This window comes from Homo sapiens, chromosome 2 (genome assembly GCF_000001405.40).
Source record: "Homo sapiens chromosome 2, GRCh38.p14 Primary Assembly".
Taxonomy (NCBI): Eukaryota; Metazoa; Chordata; class Mammalia; order Primates; family Hominidae; genus Homo; species Homo sapiens.
Genome location: NC_000002.12, coordinates 120785676 through 120801225, shown reverse-complemented (window position 1 = coordinate 120801225; position 15550 = coordinate 120785676). Strand labels below are relative to the sequence as shown.

General features: G+C 54.2%; 1 protein-coding gene across 5 annotated transcripts in view, besides 5 other annotated features; it reads right to left on the bottom strand.

Moving 5' to 3' along the window:
• GLI2 (GLI family zinc finger 2) overlaps nucleotides 1-15550 on the bottom strand; it is a 256786-nt gene that overhangs the window by 191428 nt on the left and 49808 nt on the right. For 3 of the 5 annotated variants that reach the window (NM_001371271.1, NM_001374353.1, NM_001374354.1), the window contains exon 2: nucleotides 3758-3935. In NM_001371271.1, coding sequence (NP_001358200.1) covers nucleotides 3758-3905 — 148 coding nt within the window. In that variant the 5' untranslated portion in view covers nucleotides 3906-3935. Of the gene's footprint in view, nucleotides 1-3757; nucleotides 3936-8787; nucleotides 8946-15550 lie in introns of those variants that run through there. The other 2 variants (NM_005270.5, XM_047443947.1) reach the window with 1 other exon arrangement.
• Nucleotides 5277-5940: an enhancer, noted in NCBI's record as "H3K27ac-H3K4me1 hESC enhancer chr2:121552862-121553525 (GRCh37/hg19 assembly coordinates)". NCBI's record gives its function as "activates a minimal SCP1, AML or CMV promoter by ChIP-STARR-seq in naive H9 embryonic stem cells {active_cell/tissue: H9 hESC(naive)}" and the evidence as "EXISTENCE:reporter gene assay evidence [ECO:0000049][PMID:30033119]".
• Nucleotides 10550-11181: an enhancer, noted in NCBI's record as "H3K27ac-H3K4me1 hESC enhancer chr2:121547621-121548252 (GRCh37/hg19 assembly coordinates)". NCBI's record gives its function as "activates a minimal SCP1, AML or CMV promoter by ChIP-STARR-seq in primed H9 embryonic stem cells {active_cell/tissue: H9 hESC(primed)}" and the evidence as "EXISTENCE:reporter gene assay evidence [ECO:0000049][PMID:30033119]".
• Nucleotides 12372-13294: an enhancer, noted in NCBI's record as "H3K27ac-H3K4me1 hESC enhancer chr2:121545508-121546430 (GRCh37/hg19 assembly coordinates)". NCBI's record gives its function as "activates a minimal SCP1, AML or CMV promoter by ChIP-STARR-seq in primed H9 embryonic stem cells {active_cell/tissue: H9 hESC(primed)}" and the evidence as "EXISTENCE:reporter gene assay evidence [ECO:0000049][PMID:30033119]".
• Nucleotides 14217-15139: an enhancer, noted in NCBI's record as "OCT4-NANOG-H3K27ac-H3K4me1 hESC enhancer chr2:121543663-121544585 (GRCh37/hg19 assembly coordinates)". NCBI's record gives its function as "activates a minimal SCP1, AML or CMV promoter by ChIP-STARR-seq in naive and primed H9 embryonic stem cells {active_cell/tissue: H9 hESC(naive and primed)}" and the evidence as "EXISTENCE:reporter gene assay evidence [ECO:0000049][PMID:30033119]".
• Nucleotides 15159-15453: a silencer, noted in NCBI's record as "tiled region #398; HepG2 Repressive non-DNase unmatched - State 20:ReprD, and K562 Repressive non-DNase unmatched - State 22:ReprW". NCBI's record gives its function as "represses a minimal TATA promoter and a strong SV40 promoter by Sharpr-MPRA in HepG2 and K562 cells {active_cell/tissue: HepG2 | K562}" and the evidence as "EXISTENCE:reporter gene assay evidence [ECO:0000049][PMID:27701403]".

Genomic DNA, 15550 nt, shown 5'->3' with positions numbered 1-15550 from the left:
CAGAGGTTGCAGTGAGCTGAGATCATGCCACTGCACTCTAGCCTGGGCGACAGAGTGAGACTCTGTCTCAAAAAACAAGCAAACAAACAAAAAAGTGAAATCCTTCTGCCTGCAGGTATGTGTACTGTTTCAACCAACTCAAGCCATGCAATTCTAGCCGTGGAATGGAAGCTCTCGGAACTGGTGACAGTGAGGGGTGGGGGAGGCTGCATGAGGGGCCATGAGCTGCCGGGGAATGCAGGGTGCCCCCACATCTGGATACCTTACAGATGCCAGGAAACAGCCCCTGACAGCTTGCAGGATTTGGCTGTTTCCTCACCACTGCGCCCCTGACATCCTCAGATAAGACCCACCCACCCCACACCTTCTCTGATGTGTAATAAGTCAGGAAACACTAAGCTCGTATAAGTCATCCCTTTCGGCCGGGTGCGGTGGCTCACACCTGTAATCCCGGCACTTTGGGAGGCTGAGGCGGGCGGATCATGAGGTCAGGAGATTGAGACCATCCTGGCTAACACAGTGAAACCCCATCTCTACTAAAAAATACAAAAAAATTAGCCAGGTGTGGTGGCGGGTGCCTGTAGTCCCAGCTACTGGGAGGCTGAGGCAGGAGAATGGCGTGAACCTGGGAGGCGGAGCTGGCAGTGAGCTGAGATCGTGCCACTGCACTCCAGCCTGTGTGACAAAGTGAAGACTGTCTCAAAAAAATAAATAAATAAAAATAAAAAATAAAATAATAATAATAATAATAAATCATCCCTTTCCGCCAGACAGCAAATCAGGGTGTGAACCATGGGGGACAATGTCACGGGATTTGGAGGAACAAGCCAGGCCTCAGAGGAGCCAGGCTTCTAAGTGGTCACCTGCGCAGCAACAGGGGAGTCGACTCAGTCTGCTCCTGCCCCCAGCAAACAGGCCTCAGAGCAGTCGCCCAGACCAAGATGATTCGTCTTTGCCAGAAACAACTCGAGAAGAGGGGCCCCTCAACAAAAATTCTCAGCTCCCCACACCCTTGCATCCACCCGGGGTGCACCCTGCGGCACTGTCCCTCTCCCAGGCTTGGTACAGTCCCTCACGGCCCCTCCTCACCCACTGTCCACACCCAGCCCTGTGCCTGATGGCTGAGTGCCCAACTCCTCAGTGGCTGCAGCAAACGCTTCTGGCCCATGAAGACTTCCTCCTTCACCAATGCCACCCTTTCTCCTACACCATTCCAGTCCCAGAAGACCCTTGGGTACCCCTCATGCCAGGCCCAGCACCAGATGCTGAGACCTAGAGATGAACACAAGAGCATCCCCGCCCCTGAGGGGGACCCACGCCAACCACCTGCAGCTTCCAGGCACCTCCTTCCGCACATTCTCCTCACCTGCTGACAGGTCTGTACTCCCGCAGGCAGTGAGGCCCACATCCATGGCTCTTTGGAGCCTTCTGGGGGACTCAGGGTTGCTGAATACATGAGGATTCTTGCTCATGCACCTCTGCCACCATCCAGTAACATTTAAGGAAGACCCGAAGTTCCAAGATCATAAAGACTGTGGACAACACCTGTCAAATCCACTCTCGACACAGATTAGGAAAACTGGGACCCAGGCCAGCGCACCTCCCATCCCATCCACGAATGCAGCCGTCGCATTTTACCAGCACTAGGAGACTTGGCCCACGATGTCCCTGCTTTGCGCCACGCAGGGACAGCTGCTCTCCCCTGACTCCAGGAGGACCCTTCCCAAAAAAAGCTGCTCAGAGACAGGTGCAGGGAGCAGCGATGGGTGAGGAGGCTCTGGGGTCCTCACAACTCTCCAGCAGCAGACACATGGCCCAAGACTGCTCTGAAGCTAACAGGCCACCTGCCCTGTGGCAACTATGCTCACGAAGGCTGGGTCCACCCTCCGCTGGAACCTCACCAGCCAAGCCACCCTGCGATCAGACAACAAGGGCCTGCGGGGTGGGCAGGAAAGGGTGTGCTGCAGTGGGGTGGGGTTGGGAGGTGAGGGCCTTTGTGGAGGTGCTGTACTCCAAACTTTGGGCCTCCTGCCTGGCCCCTACTCCCGCCACAGATTGAGAATCCCTCAAGCATCTGTTGCTATTGCACCAATAATGAGAACTCAGCCTGACACTAGAGGGGCTCCCCGGCAATTACATTCTAATTACTGTCTAATTACTGCCTAAGTCTGTCCTCTACTAATGTGACACATCAGGAAATTGCACCATGGTGGTTCATGATCCACTCATGGCTTGGAGAGGCAGGGTGTGGGGCGGAGGGATGGGGGGATGGTTCCCGCTGAAAACCCTGGGGCAGGCCAGACATACACAGAGGCCAGGCTTCCTGGAGCTCACAAGGCCTCAGAGCATGGGCAGAGGGGCAGCTTTAGGTGCCCCCACAGGCCAAGGATGGCCCTGACCCAGGGGAAGGAAAAGACCATGTGTGGCCCCAGGACCAGGGCCGCTCCACCAGCTCTTCCCTCCCTGTGCGCTTGGCTCCTCCCACTCCACCTAAGAGCTCTTCCTCCACCCCCAGCTGGCCCCTCCTCACAGAGGGAGGGCCTAGAGAGTCCCCGTCCAAGGGGCACAGGGTGGAGAGGCATCGTCCAGCTCAGAAGGCCACCTCCCCAAGGGGCCTGAAGGTTGACCTCAGATCTCCCTTTCCTGACATGAGCCACACATCCCAATAATGACCTCCCACTTAGAACCGCAGGAAAAATAAAAGTAAATACAGTAACAACCCCCCGCAGGCCCTCAGGTCCACTCGTAGAAGCACCAACTCCTAAGCCCCTCCGAGGGTCTTTCCATGTTCCTGGGCTCCGGCCCCAGCGTGGCCTGTGAACCAGCAGCCCCAGCATCATCTTGGCACCCAACAGAAATGCAGAAACTCAGCCAGCCCTGCCCCAACTTAATTGAATCGGGGTCTCCACCAAAACAAGCCCCCAACAACTGTGTATACATCAAAGTGTGAGGGGCGCTGCCCAAGCGCCCGCCGGAAGAAAAGGCGCATTCTCTTCCCTGCCTGCTCTCTGAGCTGTGCCTCAGCCCTGAGAGCAACAGGGCCTGACTAAATGCACTGGAACAAAAAGGGAGGAAAAGAAATCGAAGTCTCTCCATTCCTCCGAGACAGAAATAGTTCTGTGGCCTCCAGATGGACTGTGCAGACACAGCGGAGGTCTCGCCTTCCCGCCAAACTTTCCCAACGGGATGCTGGCACGGATGGCCCAGTAGAAACCAGAGAGTCTTTCTCTTTGGGGCAGTAAAATGAGAGGCTGTGGCTCGTGTAGTCTCTTTTGTTATAATTAAGTTGGCCAAAAATTCACCTAAGATAGTAAATCCCGAACCTGACCCTCTAATTAGAGCCAGAAGGCATCAGGAGACAATTACTTTCCAAAACAGTCCTTGGCGGGCAAGAGGCAAGAAGTTCTCTGGGCACATTTCAAATGTGCCAGCTGCACGCACCCCAGGGCTGCCTGGCAGCGACCATGCCCCTCCTCCCTCTCTCCCCTCCTCCCTCTCTCCCCTCCCAGTACTCAGGCCCCACCCACCGCTGTCTGAGGCAGCTCAGCCCCCTGGACTTGGGGTGGCCAGACCTCTTAGCAAACTCACAGGTGACCTTCATGGTGCCTGGGATTCCTGGGAGCAGAGGTGCCTTCCTCTTCGCCCTCCATAAACCCAGCATGCCTCCCTGACGACATGGGCCACCACTCTAATTAAATCCTAACGGGCTAATGAAAAACACCCCTGCTGCCCTCCAAGTGTGCGAAACAGAAAGTACCTCCTTGGGCAGCTACCGCTGCTGCTGCCGCTGCAGCCACCACCAAAGGAGAGGCCTTTTTACCCGGGTCGGGGAAGCCAGCGGCCTCCAGGATCCCACTTTTGGCTTCTTGCTTCTCGGAGGCAGTGGCTGAGGCAGACGTCTCCATCTCAGCCGCTCATCGTCCTGGGTGGCAATCCTAAAAGAGAAGACAAAGACACTCACCAACACTGAGCCCAAACCCAGCCGGGAAACGCCGACCCAGATTCACACCGCCGCTCGCTCCTAAAGCAACCAACTTCATTCTAATTCTCTTATAATTGGGAAGGAGGGTTTAATTAATTTTGAGAATTATTAGTCCTGGGATTCGTCTGGTCTTCTGAACGACCTCACGGACAACTGCAGGCCATTCTCATCATCTTTTACCCAGATTTTACAAAATCTAAGTAACAGGTTCCTACTGATATGAGTGGCGGGTAGCCTCTGATGAGGGAAATAAAGTCAGAAACAATGACCTCTGTCTGTGAATCATGGGGAAAATAAAAACAAATATAGTGACAATGACCTAGAGGTCCTCAAAGAAAGGCCCTCATTTTCAGGTGGCTTCCCTGCTCACCAGAACCTTTCACTTATTCATCTGCATGTTCGCTCACTCCTTCACCCATTCATTCAATAAATGTTCATCCTTTATTGACTCACACGCACTCAGTCAACATATTTTTAAGCCCCTAGTATGCATCAGGCATCATGCCTGGTGCGGAAGATACAATATGTGGAGTTTACATTCTCCTTGGGGGCAAACAAGGGGAAAATAAATGTAGATTTAATCTCAGTGAGTGGGAGGTGGCTCAGGAAAAGAAAGCAGGACAGAGAGGGTTGCAGGGGCACAGCGGGGCAGCGCTGCCAGGCCTCTCTGGGGTAGGGATGGGATGCCTGAGGGGCCACCCCACTGCAGTCAGAGGGCAAAGCCAGGAGCCAGGGGCCTTGTGGGAGGAGGCTGGCTTCTTTGAGTAGTGGCCAGAAGGGAAGTGCAGGCATCAGAGGGTCTTGAGCAGGGGAGGGGCAGGACTGACTCCGGGTGTAAAAGGGTCACTCCATTGCTGTGTGCGGAGAGCAGGCTTTTCGGGGAGAGGAGGCTACTGCAGTGACCCAGGGAGAGACAATGGTGGTTTGGGTTAAGCAGGTGGCGGTGGAGCTGGTGAAACATGGACATGGTTTGAAGGCAGAGCCAACAGACCAGGCTACAGACTAGATAAGGAGGGATGGAAAGTGGCTGTGAGCAAGGGAGGAACACCCAGCGGGATTCGGGGCATGGGCAACTTCCGTCTCCAGCTGAGTGGTGGGTCAGAGCAGACACTGGCAATCCAGCCTTTCTATCAGAAGATAAATCTGATGGTCACATGTTTGTTTTTTGTTTTTGTTTGTTTGTTTGTTTGTTTGTTTTTGAGCTGGAGTCTCACTCTTGTTGCCCAGGCTGGAGTGCAATGGCGCGATCTTGGCTCACCGCAACCTCTGCCTCCCAGGTTCAAGTGATTCTCCTGCAATCCTGAGTAGCTGGGATTACAGGCATGAGCCACCACGCCCGGCTAATTTTGTATTTTTAGTAGAGACAGGGTTTCTCCATGTTGGTCAGGCTGGTCTCAAACTCCTGACCTCAGGTGATCTGCCCGCCTTGGCCTCCTAAAGTGCTGGGATTACAGGCGTGAGCCACCGCACCTGGCCGGTCACATGTTTTAAAGAAGGTGGTGGGGAAGATAGCTGGCATTTTTGGCTGGACACCTGGAGGAGTGGGGCAGAAAGGTTATGGGCAGCTGTGTGAAGGTCCTGCAGAGAGTGTGGGGACGGGGGTCGCAGTGTGCAGACACCAGTGGTCAGCTCCACTCCCGGGGCCCTCAGCTAAATCCACATTAGTAGGCCCTATAACTTTTCTGTTTTATGTTGTTTTTTTTTTTTTCATTTTTTTATTTTAGATAGAGTCTCACTCTGTCACCCAGGCTGGAGTGCAGTGGTGTGACCTCAGCTCACTGCAACCTCCACCACCCAGATTCAAAAGATTCTCCTGCCTCAGCCTCCTGAGTAGCTGGGATTACAGGCATGCGCCATCACACTCGGCTAATTTTTGTATTTTTTAGTAGAGACAGGGTTTCACTATGTTGGCCAGGCTGGTCTTGAACTCCTGACCTCAAGTGATCCACCTGCCTTGGCCTCCCAAAGTGCTAGGACTGCAGGCGTGAGCCAACGAGCCCAGCCAAGAATTTTTCTTTTTTAAGAGACAGGGTCTCTCCTGTCACCCAGGCTGGAGTGCAGTGGCACAATCAAAGCTCACTGCAGCCTCAAACTCCTGGGCTCAAGGGATCCTCTCACCTCAGCTGGGACTACAGGTGCACACTACCACACTCGGCCTAGAATTTTATTTTTTAAATCCACACAATACTCCCACATCTTTTTAAGTAGAAAAAAATGAGTACACAAGAACAATGGAGGGGCCACATGAAGGATGTCCACAGCTCCTGTCAGCTCCTGGCTCATCTGCACACACCAGCCTGGCCAGTTTCCACAGTCTTTCAAAACTCCCTGCCCAGAAAGCCCAAGAAAGTCAGGCAGATGGGGGAGAGAAAAATCTGCTTGCTGGTGAGTCAGGGGCCTCCTTTTGGCCTAGAAATTCAGGGATTGCTGCCTGCTCTTTTAAGCCCACTTTAAAATCCGCCCCTTAAGAGTCTGGCTATCTGAATGGCCTACTAGCACTATACACTGGTTCGTGCCTGCTGTTCCTCTGCCCCTTACCTGGTCACAGGCACCACCACACCAGCCACCTGAGCTGCATCCTTAAGACACCTTCCTCCTCTCCTCGCCACACACACGAAGACTGTGAGCCCCATCACTTCACCCCACACCCCCCAGCACTCGCACGCCTCACCAGCACTGCCTCTCCCGCTGGCTGCTCTGTGCCAGGCACTCTTTCCCCTCTGGGTCTTGGCACTTTTCACACCTCTGGTCCACTCCAGGTAATTCCCTGTGCTTCAGCCAGGCATCTTCCCAGAAACCACATATCACTCCATCCCTCCCCTGCTGAGCCCCTTGGCCTTCAGGTAAAGTCTTCCCATGTCTACCTAAAGCCTCCTCTCCCTACCAGCTCCCTGGCTGCCTGACCCTCCTAACAGGGATAACTGGCTCTGCCCTTGCACACAGCCAGGCCTCTGCCCAAGCTATGCCACTCACTGGAAACCCTTCACCTTTCTGTGTCTGATGAACTCTTACTCTCAAGATGCCACTCAGACGTCACCTCCTCCAGGAAGCCCCACTTCCCCTCCTAGCCCATGATTGCAGCCCTGAAGCAGTCAGATCATGTCCTACTCAACACCCCCGTATTACATTCATCACCTTCAGGCCAGGAGCTCTTCAGCACAGCATTCCCACAGCCAGGCCCAGCTCAAGCTGGTAACTAGAAGGCTCCATCCGTGAAGAACGGACCCAAAACACAGCAGCTGCGGCTTCCTCATGGCAACCCCACCTATTCACTTCAGCACAGCAGATGTCATCACCAGTTCTTATAGGGGAGGAAGCTGAGGCCCCCATGGGGAGTGAGCTGCCCAAGGCCACTCCCCAGGAAGGCACGGGGCCAGGCCTACAGTCAGATCCTCCAGCCAAAATGCCTCCTGACACCTCAGGGCGTGGTCGCTCCAGAAACAGGGTGAATGTAGTGAGGGAGGAGGGGCATTTATTCAGATGCCCAGCTCCCAGACTGTGGCTCAGGGAGAGGATGTGCACACAGATGCACCTGAGGTTTCGTGAACGCCTGTGGGGAGCAGATGCAGCGGGGGGATTCCAGGCAGTGCCCACTGCATCCGTGGCCTCGCCTTCCCACCACTTCCCGGAGAAGAAGATAGTACACAGAGCCAAGAGGCTGTGTAAATCACAGGAATTAGCGGGATTAGCACAATTTCTAGGTAAACACCAGGCGCCCAGGGTCCCAGGCAGCCACTTTCACTCCCCAAAGCTCATCTGAGGCAGGCCCGTCAAGCCCTGCAGCCAAAGCGGATAGTCTCATCTGGGCCTCCAGGGGCTGCCTGGGGACAGCAGGGAGGGTCTCTCCAGGGATGGCTCCCACGGGCTCCACAGAGCTCCAGAAAAAGAGGGACTGGGAGTCACAGCACCTACCACAGGGAAGGAGAAGAGTCAATTCCTCACTTTACCTTCAAAACACACAGCTCTGCCGCTGTCCAAACAACCACGAAGGAAACACAGCCACACTCTCCAAAATTCTGCTAAGGGGGTGGGAGCGGGCACCCGGGACCCAGGGCCCGGAGAAGCCCCCTGTCCGTTAGGAGGTTCACCCAGGTCACCTGCCCTCTGGGGCCTCAGCAGGGGCACTGGTGACAGCAAGATGCTTCAGGAGCATTTCTGGGCCTTCCCCTGGAGATTGTGATTCCCCAAGTCTAGGCAGGGGGTGGCAAGAAGAGCTGCATTTCTGTTAGTTGCACAAGTCTTTCTGATACAGAAGCAGGTATATGAAAAACCGAACGGGGTGCTCATAAGGTCCCTTCTGGCTTCCAAATAATCTACAAGTTCAGCCAGGTGTGGTGGCTCATGCCTGTAATCCCAGCACTTTGGGAGGCCGAGGCAGGCGGATCATGAGGTCAGGAGATGAAGACCGTCTTGACCAACATGATGAAAGGCCGTCTCTATTAAAATACAAAAAATTAGCTGGGCATGGTGGCGTGCACCTGTAGTCCCAGCTACTCGGGAAGCTGAGGCAGGGGAATCGCTTGGACCTGGGAGGTGGAGGTTGCAGTGAGGCAAGACCGCGCCACTGCACTCCAGCTTGGAGACAGAGTGAGACTCTGTCTCAAATAAATAAATAAATAAATAATCTACAAGTTCCAGTTAAAGCAGGACTATCTAACCTGATGAAAAGATACATTTTTATCTTTGCTAGTTTGGAGCTGAAGTTGGTGTCTCCCTCAGGCTGCCACTGGCATGAGTCGCAGCTATGCCCAAGCCCACCGTGGTGTCCCACTTATGCTAGCCATTCATTAGCCCCCACGGCTGACCTTGCTCTTTGATGTGTCGGTAAAGCAGCACATGTATTCTTGATCACAGATGCGGTGCCTTGAACGTTTTAGACATCGCATCATCACTTTCTTTCACAGTCCTGTGTCTTTTCTTCTATGCATTTATAGCATTATTGTAGGAGTCCACGAACTTCACTTGCTTGCCAAGGGGCCCACGGCGCAGAAAAGGTTAAGAACTCTGAGTTAAAGGACTTGCTTGAAGAATAAATTAGTAATCAGAGCAGAATGAGCGAATCACCCTGAAACCTGAAATCCCAGACACCCTCCCGCCACCTGGTTTCTTTGAACTCCTCTAACGAGTGACTCACAGGAATTAGAGCATTGTTCCCCAGGCAAAATCAATCTCCAGGAGAGAGATGAAGCCTCGCCTCTCAGCAGTCACAGCCACCACAGAGCCACGGTGTTCTCACCTCTGCTGTGATCTCAGTCGTGCGGCATGCGTGCCCAGGACCCACACGCATAGGCACACATGGATGCACACACACACGCAGGCTCACACACTCACACAGCACACAGAACATACGCCGACAAACCATATACACAGCCACACACATGCATACACCTGCACGCAGGCCACACACACACGTGCACACCGCATTAAAGTCACAGACGTGTGCATGGGCACACACATATATAAAGTCACACATGGTCACCTGCATCACACATACACTCACAGCACATATGCAGCCACACACGTGCACACATACAGGATACATGTAGTTACATGCAGAGGTACATGAACACTCACACATGCACATGTATATATTACAAGGACACAGACCCAGGCAAACACATGCACATACATGAGAGATAAACATGTGCCCTGCCTTGATCACAGACTTATTTTTAAGATCCAATGAGATAAAAAGTGAAATTTCCCAGAGTGAAGAGCACACCGCCACCCTGATTAAGGGAAATCGTCATTCTAACCTCATGACAGCTAAAAGGGAAGCAGCCGACTCACGGCCTGAGGCCCTGAGGACTCTGTCTTGTATCCACCAGGAGCTGGGCACCAGTCCTTTCCTCTCCCCTCACACCACTGTCTCCACTGGGAAAATGACCTCAGGGACACCAGTCCAGTGCCACAATGCCAAGGCTGGCAGCCTAGGAGCAAAGCGGGCTCTGACTCCTCAGGTCAGTCCCCACTGTCCCATCCAGACAAATTTACACTCACTCCTCCACCCTGAAGGAGATAGGGACGTGGGGAACGTAAGGGTTCCCCAGGACTTCTGGCATTTTACTGCCAGCGGCAAAATAATCCTATTTTAAAACATGAGGCATTGAATTCTCCCACAATGAGAGATGCATGTGTGCCTGGACCAGCATAGTCTGCATCCACTGTGTGTCTGTGGCCATGTTACTTCCCCTCTCGGAGCCTCAGTTTGCTCCCCAGTGATGCAGAGTACCCTCCCTCCCAGGGTACTGGGAAGACAGTCAGCCTTCCCAGCATGGCCCGTAACACCTATTATAGCAGCTGCCCCACATGGGCAGCTTCTCCCATTTTCTTCTTCTCCAAGAAAAGATCACCTGCCTGCAGGGCCCTGGGGGGACAGTCAGGGACTCCACCAGCTCCTCAGACCTGCCTGTGGGGTCTGAGGCCTAGGCAGCACCAGTTTCTGCCTTCTCTGTCCACCTTCCCATCACTGTACATGAAACCGAAGCCTGCCATGGCTTCACTAGGGCCCAGCAGGATAACAGCTCTGCAGAGCCCCAGAGAGCAGCACCAACAAGGAGCTCCAGGACTGGGGCCAGGCAGAGCTCAGGAAGGTGTGAAGGGTCTTCCAGAGTGTGGACGGGTGGGCAGCTGTGCAAAGGCCTTGTCCCTGACTCCCCCTCTTCCAGCCATTCCACACTGGGAGGGGAACCGCAAGCTCCTACCTGCGCTGGTCCCTCTTCCACCACTCCAGCCAGGGATTCCCACAGCCCCCAGCCTCCACTCTGGGTCCTTTGGGGAGATGGCAAACTCAGGAGGGGAGCCCAGACCCTATAAATGATGCCTGGACTGGTCAGATGCGGGGAGGCAGGGCCATGGTGTCTGGGTCAGCCCCATGCCCCTCAGGCTCCATAACCTTGACCTTGGCTTCCCACAGACAGTGAGGGGGATGCACCCCCAGCAAGATTATCCAGAAACTTGAAGGTGGCGATGTATGTGAGGCACCAGTGCACAGCCACTGCTCCCAACAGACCCCCCTGTTTCTCTATGGATTTGGTGCATGGCCCACCACCCCACCTGGTACCCAGTAGGCTGTGAGGACAACGAAGGGAGACACATCTGGAAGAAAAGAAATCGCTCTTCCGAAATCCCCTGGGATCCATGGTTCCCATGTTGACTCAGAGGAAGAAGGGTCCTCTTGAACTGCTCTGTCCTTCCTTAGACCCCCTCCTCTGCCTAGGGTGTCGCTGCACCGGGAGCCCCATGACTAGAGAAAGACAACAAAACCTTCAAGCACACATAGGTGTCCCGAGCTGGCTAGCTCCTCTCCTCAAGTAATTTCACCATTCACAGCAGCTACTCCTACTGGGCCAATATCTCGAACCTTGCTTTCACTTAAAATCAGAGGCCCAGAGAGGATAAGTAAGCTCCCCGAAGTCACACAGCTAAGATACGGCAGTGCTGGTGGGCCAGTGCATGTCTGCTGGATTCTAGTTTTCTACTTTCTCCATCATGGCCAACTCCTTTGTATGCACAGATGCCTGCCAGGCTCCAGAATTATTATAGGGGTGTCAAAAGGTATAAAAGCACAGCTATAGACACACATGTAAAGAGTTGTGAGGCAGGCACTTGTGTAGAGAGTGCTTCAAAGTCCAAGGCAGTATATGCTAAATGTCAAATAAGCAGCAGTGAGTTTCTACTTGTGGGAGCTCCACAAGGGCGGGCTACCTGAGGAGGTCAGAGGAGGCTTCCTGGTGACCATCCAGTCTGCCCTGTGGCTTCCAGTCAGAGAATGAAAGGGTCCTGAACTTGGCCCGGAGAGCACAAAGGGAAGAGCACTCCAGGGTCTGGGAACTGCATGAGCAAAGGGAGGGAGAAGCCCTTGGCACACTCTAAGGCAAGAAAAAAAAAGCGTTCCCACAGGGAGACAGAAGTAGGTGAGACTGGGCGCGGTGGCTCACACCTGTAATCCCAGCACTCTGGGAGGCTGAGGAGGGCGGATCACCTGAGGTCAGAAGCTTGAGACCAGCCTGGCCAACATGATGAAACCCCGTCTCTACTAAAAATCAGCCAGGTGTGGTGGCAGGCGCCTGTAATCCCAGCTACTGAGGAGGCTGAGGCAGGAGAATCACATGAACCTGGGAGGTGGAGGTTGCAGTGAGCAGAGATCGTGTCGCTACACTCCAGCCTGGCGACAGAGTGAGACTCCGTCTCAAAAAAAAAAAAAAAAAGAAAGAAAGAAATAAGTGATAAGCCAGATTGAAGGGGAACCATAGGGGCTGTCAGGGTATCTGGGGAGGGCAGGCTAGGAGGAGACTGAAGTTTAGGAAGGCCTCCAGCCCCTGGGTGTCTGACACGCTTCTGCAGCACAGCCTGGCCAGCCTGTGCCTGCTGTCCCCACCTCTTTCAGGGGATGCAGCCCAGGGGCCTGCAAGTTGAGGGGGTGGCCAAAGCCCTCACCCTCCCAGTGTGGCCAGGGGTGGGCACCATACAAAATCCCCATCCTAGCAGGTGCACCTGCTTCTTTATCGCTCCTTGAATTTGTTTTTCCAAGTACAAAAGCTCCCCTAATTTGCCCAGCTCCTGGGCCTGCTGGTGTCCAGGAAAACAGATAATTAACCCTAATTCACTGACTTGCTGGGCTGGAACAGGGGCCAGGGAGGGCCCCAATGGGAAATGCAGGCCCCTCCAGGGGCAGCCAGCCTCCGATAAGAGTTGATGAGTATCAGGAGGACTTTTTCCCTCTGGGAAGCTGTGGGTAAGACCTACTTTGAGGTTGACATTTGAGACGGCCTCAAGACTTCGTTTGTTTCCACTGGGATTTACTCCCTGAAAGCCAGCAGGCCCTCTCCAATCCCCATGCCTTCCTGCCAGGAACATTCTTCCCTCTGCTCTACCGAGGATGCCATGCTTTAAAATCCAGAAAGCTTGCTCTCACACCCTCCTTCCCAGAGTCCTAGACAGAGCTCACCAACCTCTTTGTGCTGTGACTGAACTTTGACACCACCTGTGCACACGTCAGTGGTTGTCACATTCAGCTGGAGGCCAGTGAGTGCAGACTCTGGAGAAGGAATGGCCATGTTCACCTCCCAGCTCTGTCAGGAACTGTCGACAAGAATCAACTTCTCCCTAAGCCTCAGTTTCCTCATCTGTTAAGTGGGGATAAACAGAATGTCTCACATGGGGCCTGGCACACACAGGCCTGGCCTTATCATCCCTGCAGCTGGAGAAGGCCTGCCCCTGAGCAGTGCCTGGAGGCTGCCCCACCAACAGAAGGCTCTGTCCAAGAATTGACACGACAGTCCCATCCAGGCATCCTCCTCCACCCACCCTGGTGCCAGCGCCTCTACAGTCTGACATCTAAACTCTCGGGTTGGCATCTGTTTGTAATGTGCTTGTTCCACTCGGTTCTAAATTCCTATTGTCCATCACCTTCCTCCCTGGAGAGCCCTGAAGCCTAGAGGTCCAGGGTCTCTCCCTGACACCACTCCCCCAGCACCGCTGACCCAGCAGAGGGTTGGGACGTGCTCTGAGGCCGCTGTCTGCAAGGGGAACAAGGGGCCCACTGTGTGGCCGGCCCGCCAGACCCAGATATTTTAACAGCTGCTTTGTGTATTCCTGAAGCGCGATTCCTGAGTGTGGAGGAAAAACAAGGCTGGCCTCTGCCCTGAGGAGGGAAAATCACACTGCCCCGGGCAGGCTGAGGGCTGGGGTGAAGGCCTCTCAGGGGCCCAGGGTGGCAGCAGACATCAGAAACAGACCCCAGTAGCCTGGCACACGGGAGCCACAGGCACCCAGACCCATGCCAAGGCCCCCTTAATCCAAGACTGAGAAGGCAGGGAGTTGGGGGTGGGGGCAAGGACCAAGGGCCACTGAGGGTGGAAAATCCTTGCAGGAGACTCTGAGAGGGGACGAAGGACCATGAAGGCAGTGAGTGCGCACAGGACAAGGTCCAAGTCGCTGTCATGGCCCCAAGGCCCTGCCTCAGGATCTGCACCCCCAGGTTCCCTGCCCCACCCCCATTCCACCGCAGTCATGCTGTCTGTGACTCTGATCACGCGGTTCCTCTGCCTGGAATGCTAGTTCCCCAATACCCACTATGACACCCCCTCAGAGAAGCCTCCCTGGGACCACCCCCTGCCAGGCCAGGCAGGGGTCTGTCTTGCCTGTGTGCCTGCCAAGGTCAAGGCTCCTATCTCATTGTGTTTTAACTACATGTTTACGTGTCCGTGTCCCTTTATGGCCACCCTCGACACAGACACCATCAATGTTTGTTGACTGACTCAGAGACGAACTGAACACATAAATGCTCTCAGGCACTCAAGTCTTCAAGAATCCTCTTCTTCTCCGAGCATCCCCTCAGGCTTCAATGCCCCACAAAGTCCACGTGGTGAGCAGCTTCTAGACCCTGAGACCCACAGGCACCTTTAAGGGAGGGCTGGGTTGGAGAAGGCATCAGGCTATCTCTTAGGTCAGGAAAAGTGCAGTAATCGACTTCTAATGTCTGCTGCAGGAGGCACACTAGTCAACTTGTACTGTCTGCCATGGGCAGTGTTTGCCAGCACTGCATAAGAATGCCTTCCTTCCCTTACATTGTAAACCCCTTGAGAGCAAAAGATTTGCCATGCATAGTACTTAGCACTGAAGCCTATACATATTAACTGGGTACCTGCTGAGCTCTAAGCACAACCATTTTCAAGATGAATAAAAAAGTGTTTATCTCTTAAAAGCGCTTTTTGAGCACTGACACACTCAAAAGAGCTATTTTCTCAGTGGAATTGCAGGTTGGGCGGGGGGTTGGAGGGTGGGGGTGGTATTTTGGGGTCAGGGGAATGGTGCAGGTGGCCTTTCCAGGCTCTTCCAATTAGGACCCAAACAGCAGGGATGATGGCGGTGGTGGGAGATGTCTGCAGATCAAGGACAAATCTCACCTCTTCAAACAATGTGATCCAACCGACACCAAGTCTCAAAGTCTTGAGAAAGGAGCTGGGCTGACCTGGGACCCTGTCTGGTTGGCAGGACTCTGGGCAAGCTACAGGGAGAGGAGCCTCCCATTGGCCCATCACACTGCTCCTCAGAACCTGGCGATGGGCTCTGACACTCGCTGAGACCCGTCCAGGGTGGTGGGGAGAGCTGCGTTTTGATTCCTCTGAGTTTGTCCTCTTACGGATCCTGGGATTGTGAGGCTGCCTTGCCAGGAGCCACCCCAAGCCCAGACCACGTGTTTCTAACCCCTCTGTCTTCTCCCTCTTATGACAGAGTCTGGCACCCAGAAAGGCCTCCAGGGGTCATCTCATCCAGCCCCCGGGCAGCTCAGCCCCCAAGCAGTCCTTTGCCAATGATGCAGCGGGGCTGTCACTGGGCCCCTTACCTGGTTTATAACCACAGCAGTTGGTTGCAGTTAACCACATCGCTATCCCAGCCCAGACTGGCAGTGCAACTCTGGGTGTGAGATAGGCAGGCTGGACCCCCAGGGAGTACAGTGTTATGCCATGATTGGATGGAGACAGGAATTTTGACATGTGAGGGGAGCATACCAGGATCCAAGTGCATGGATCCAAGCCACCTGCAGCCACGAGCCAGCAATCT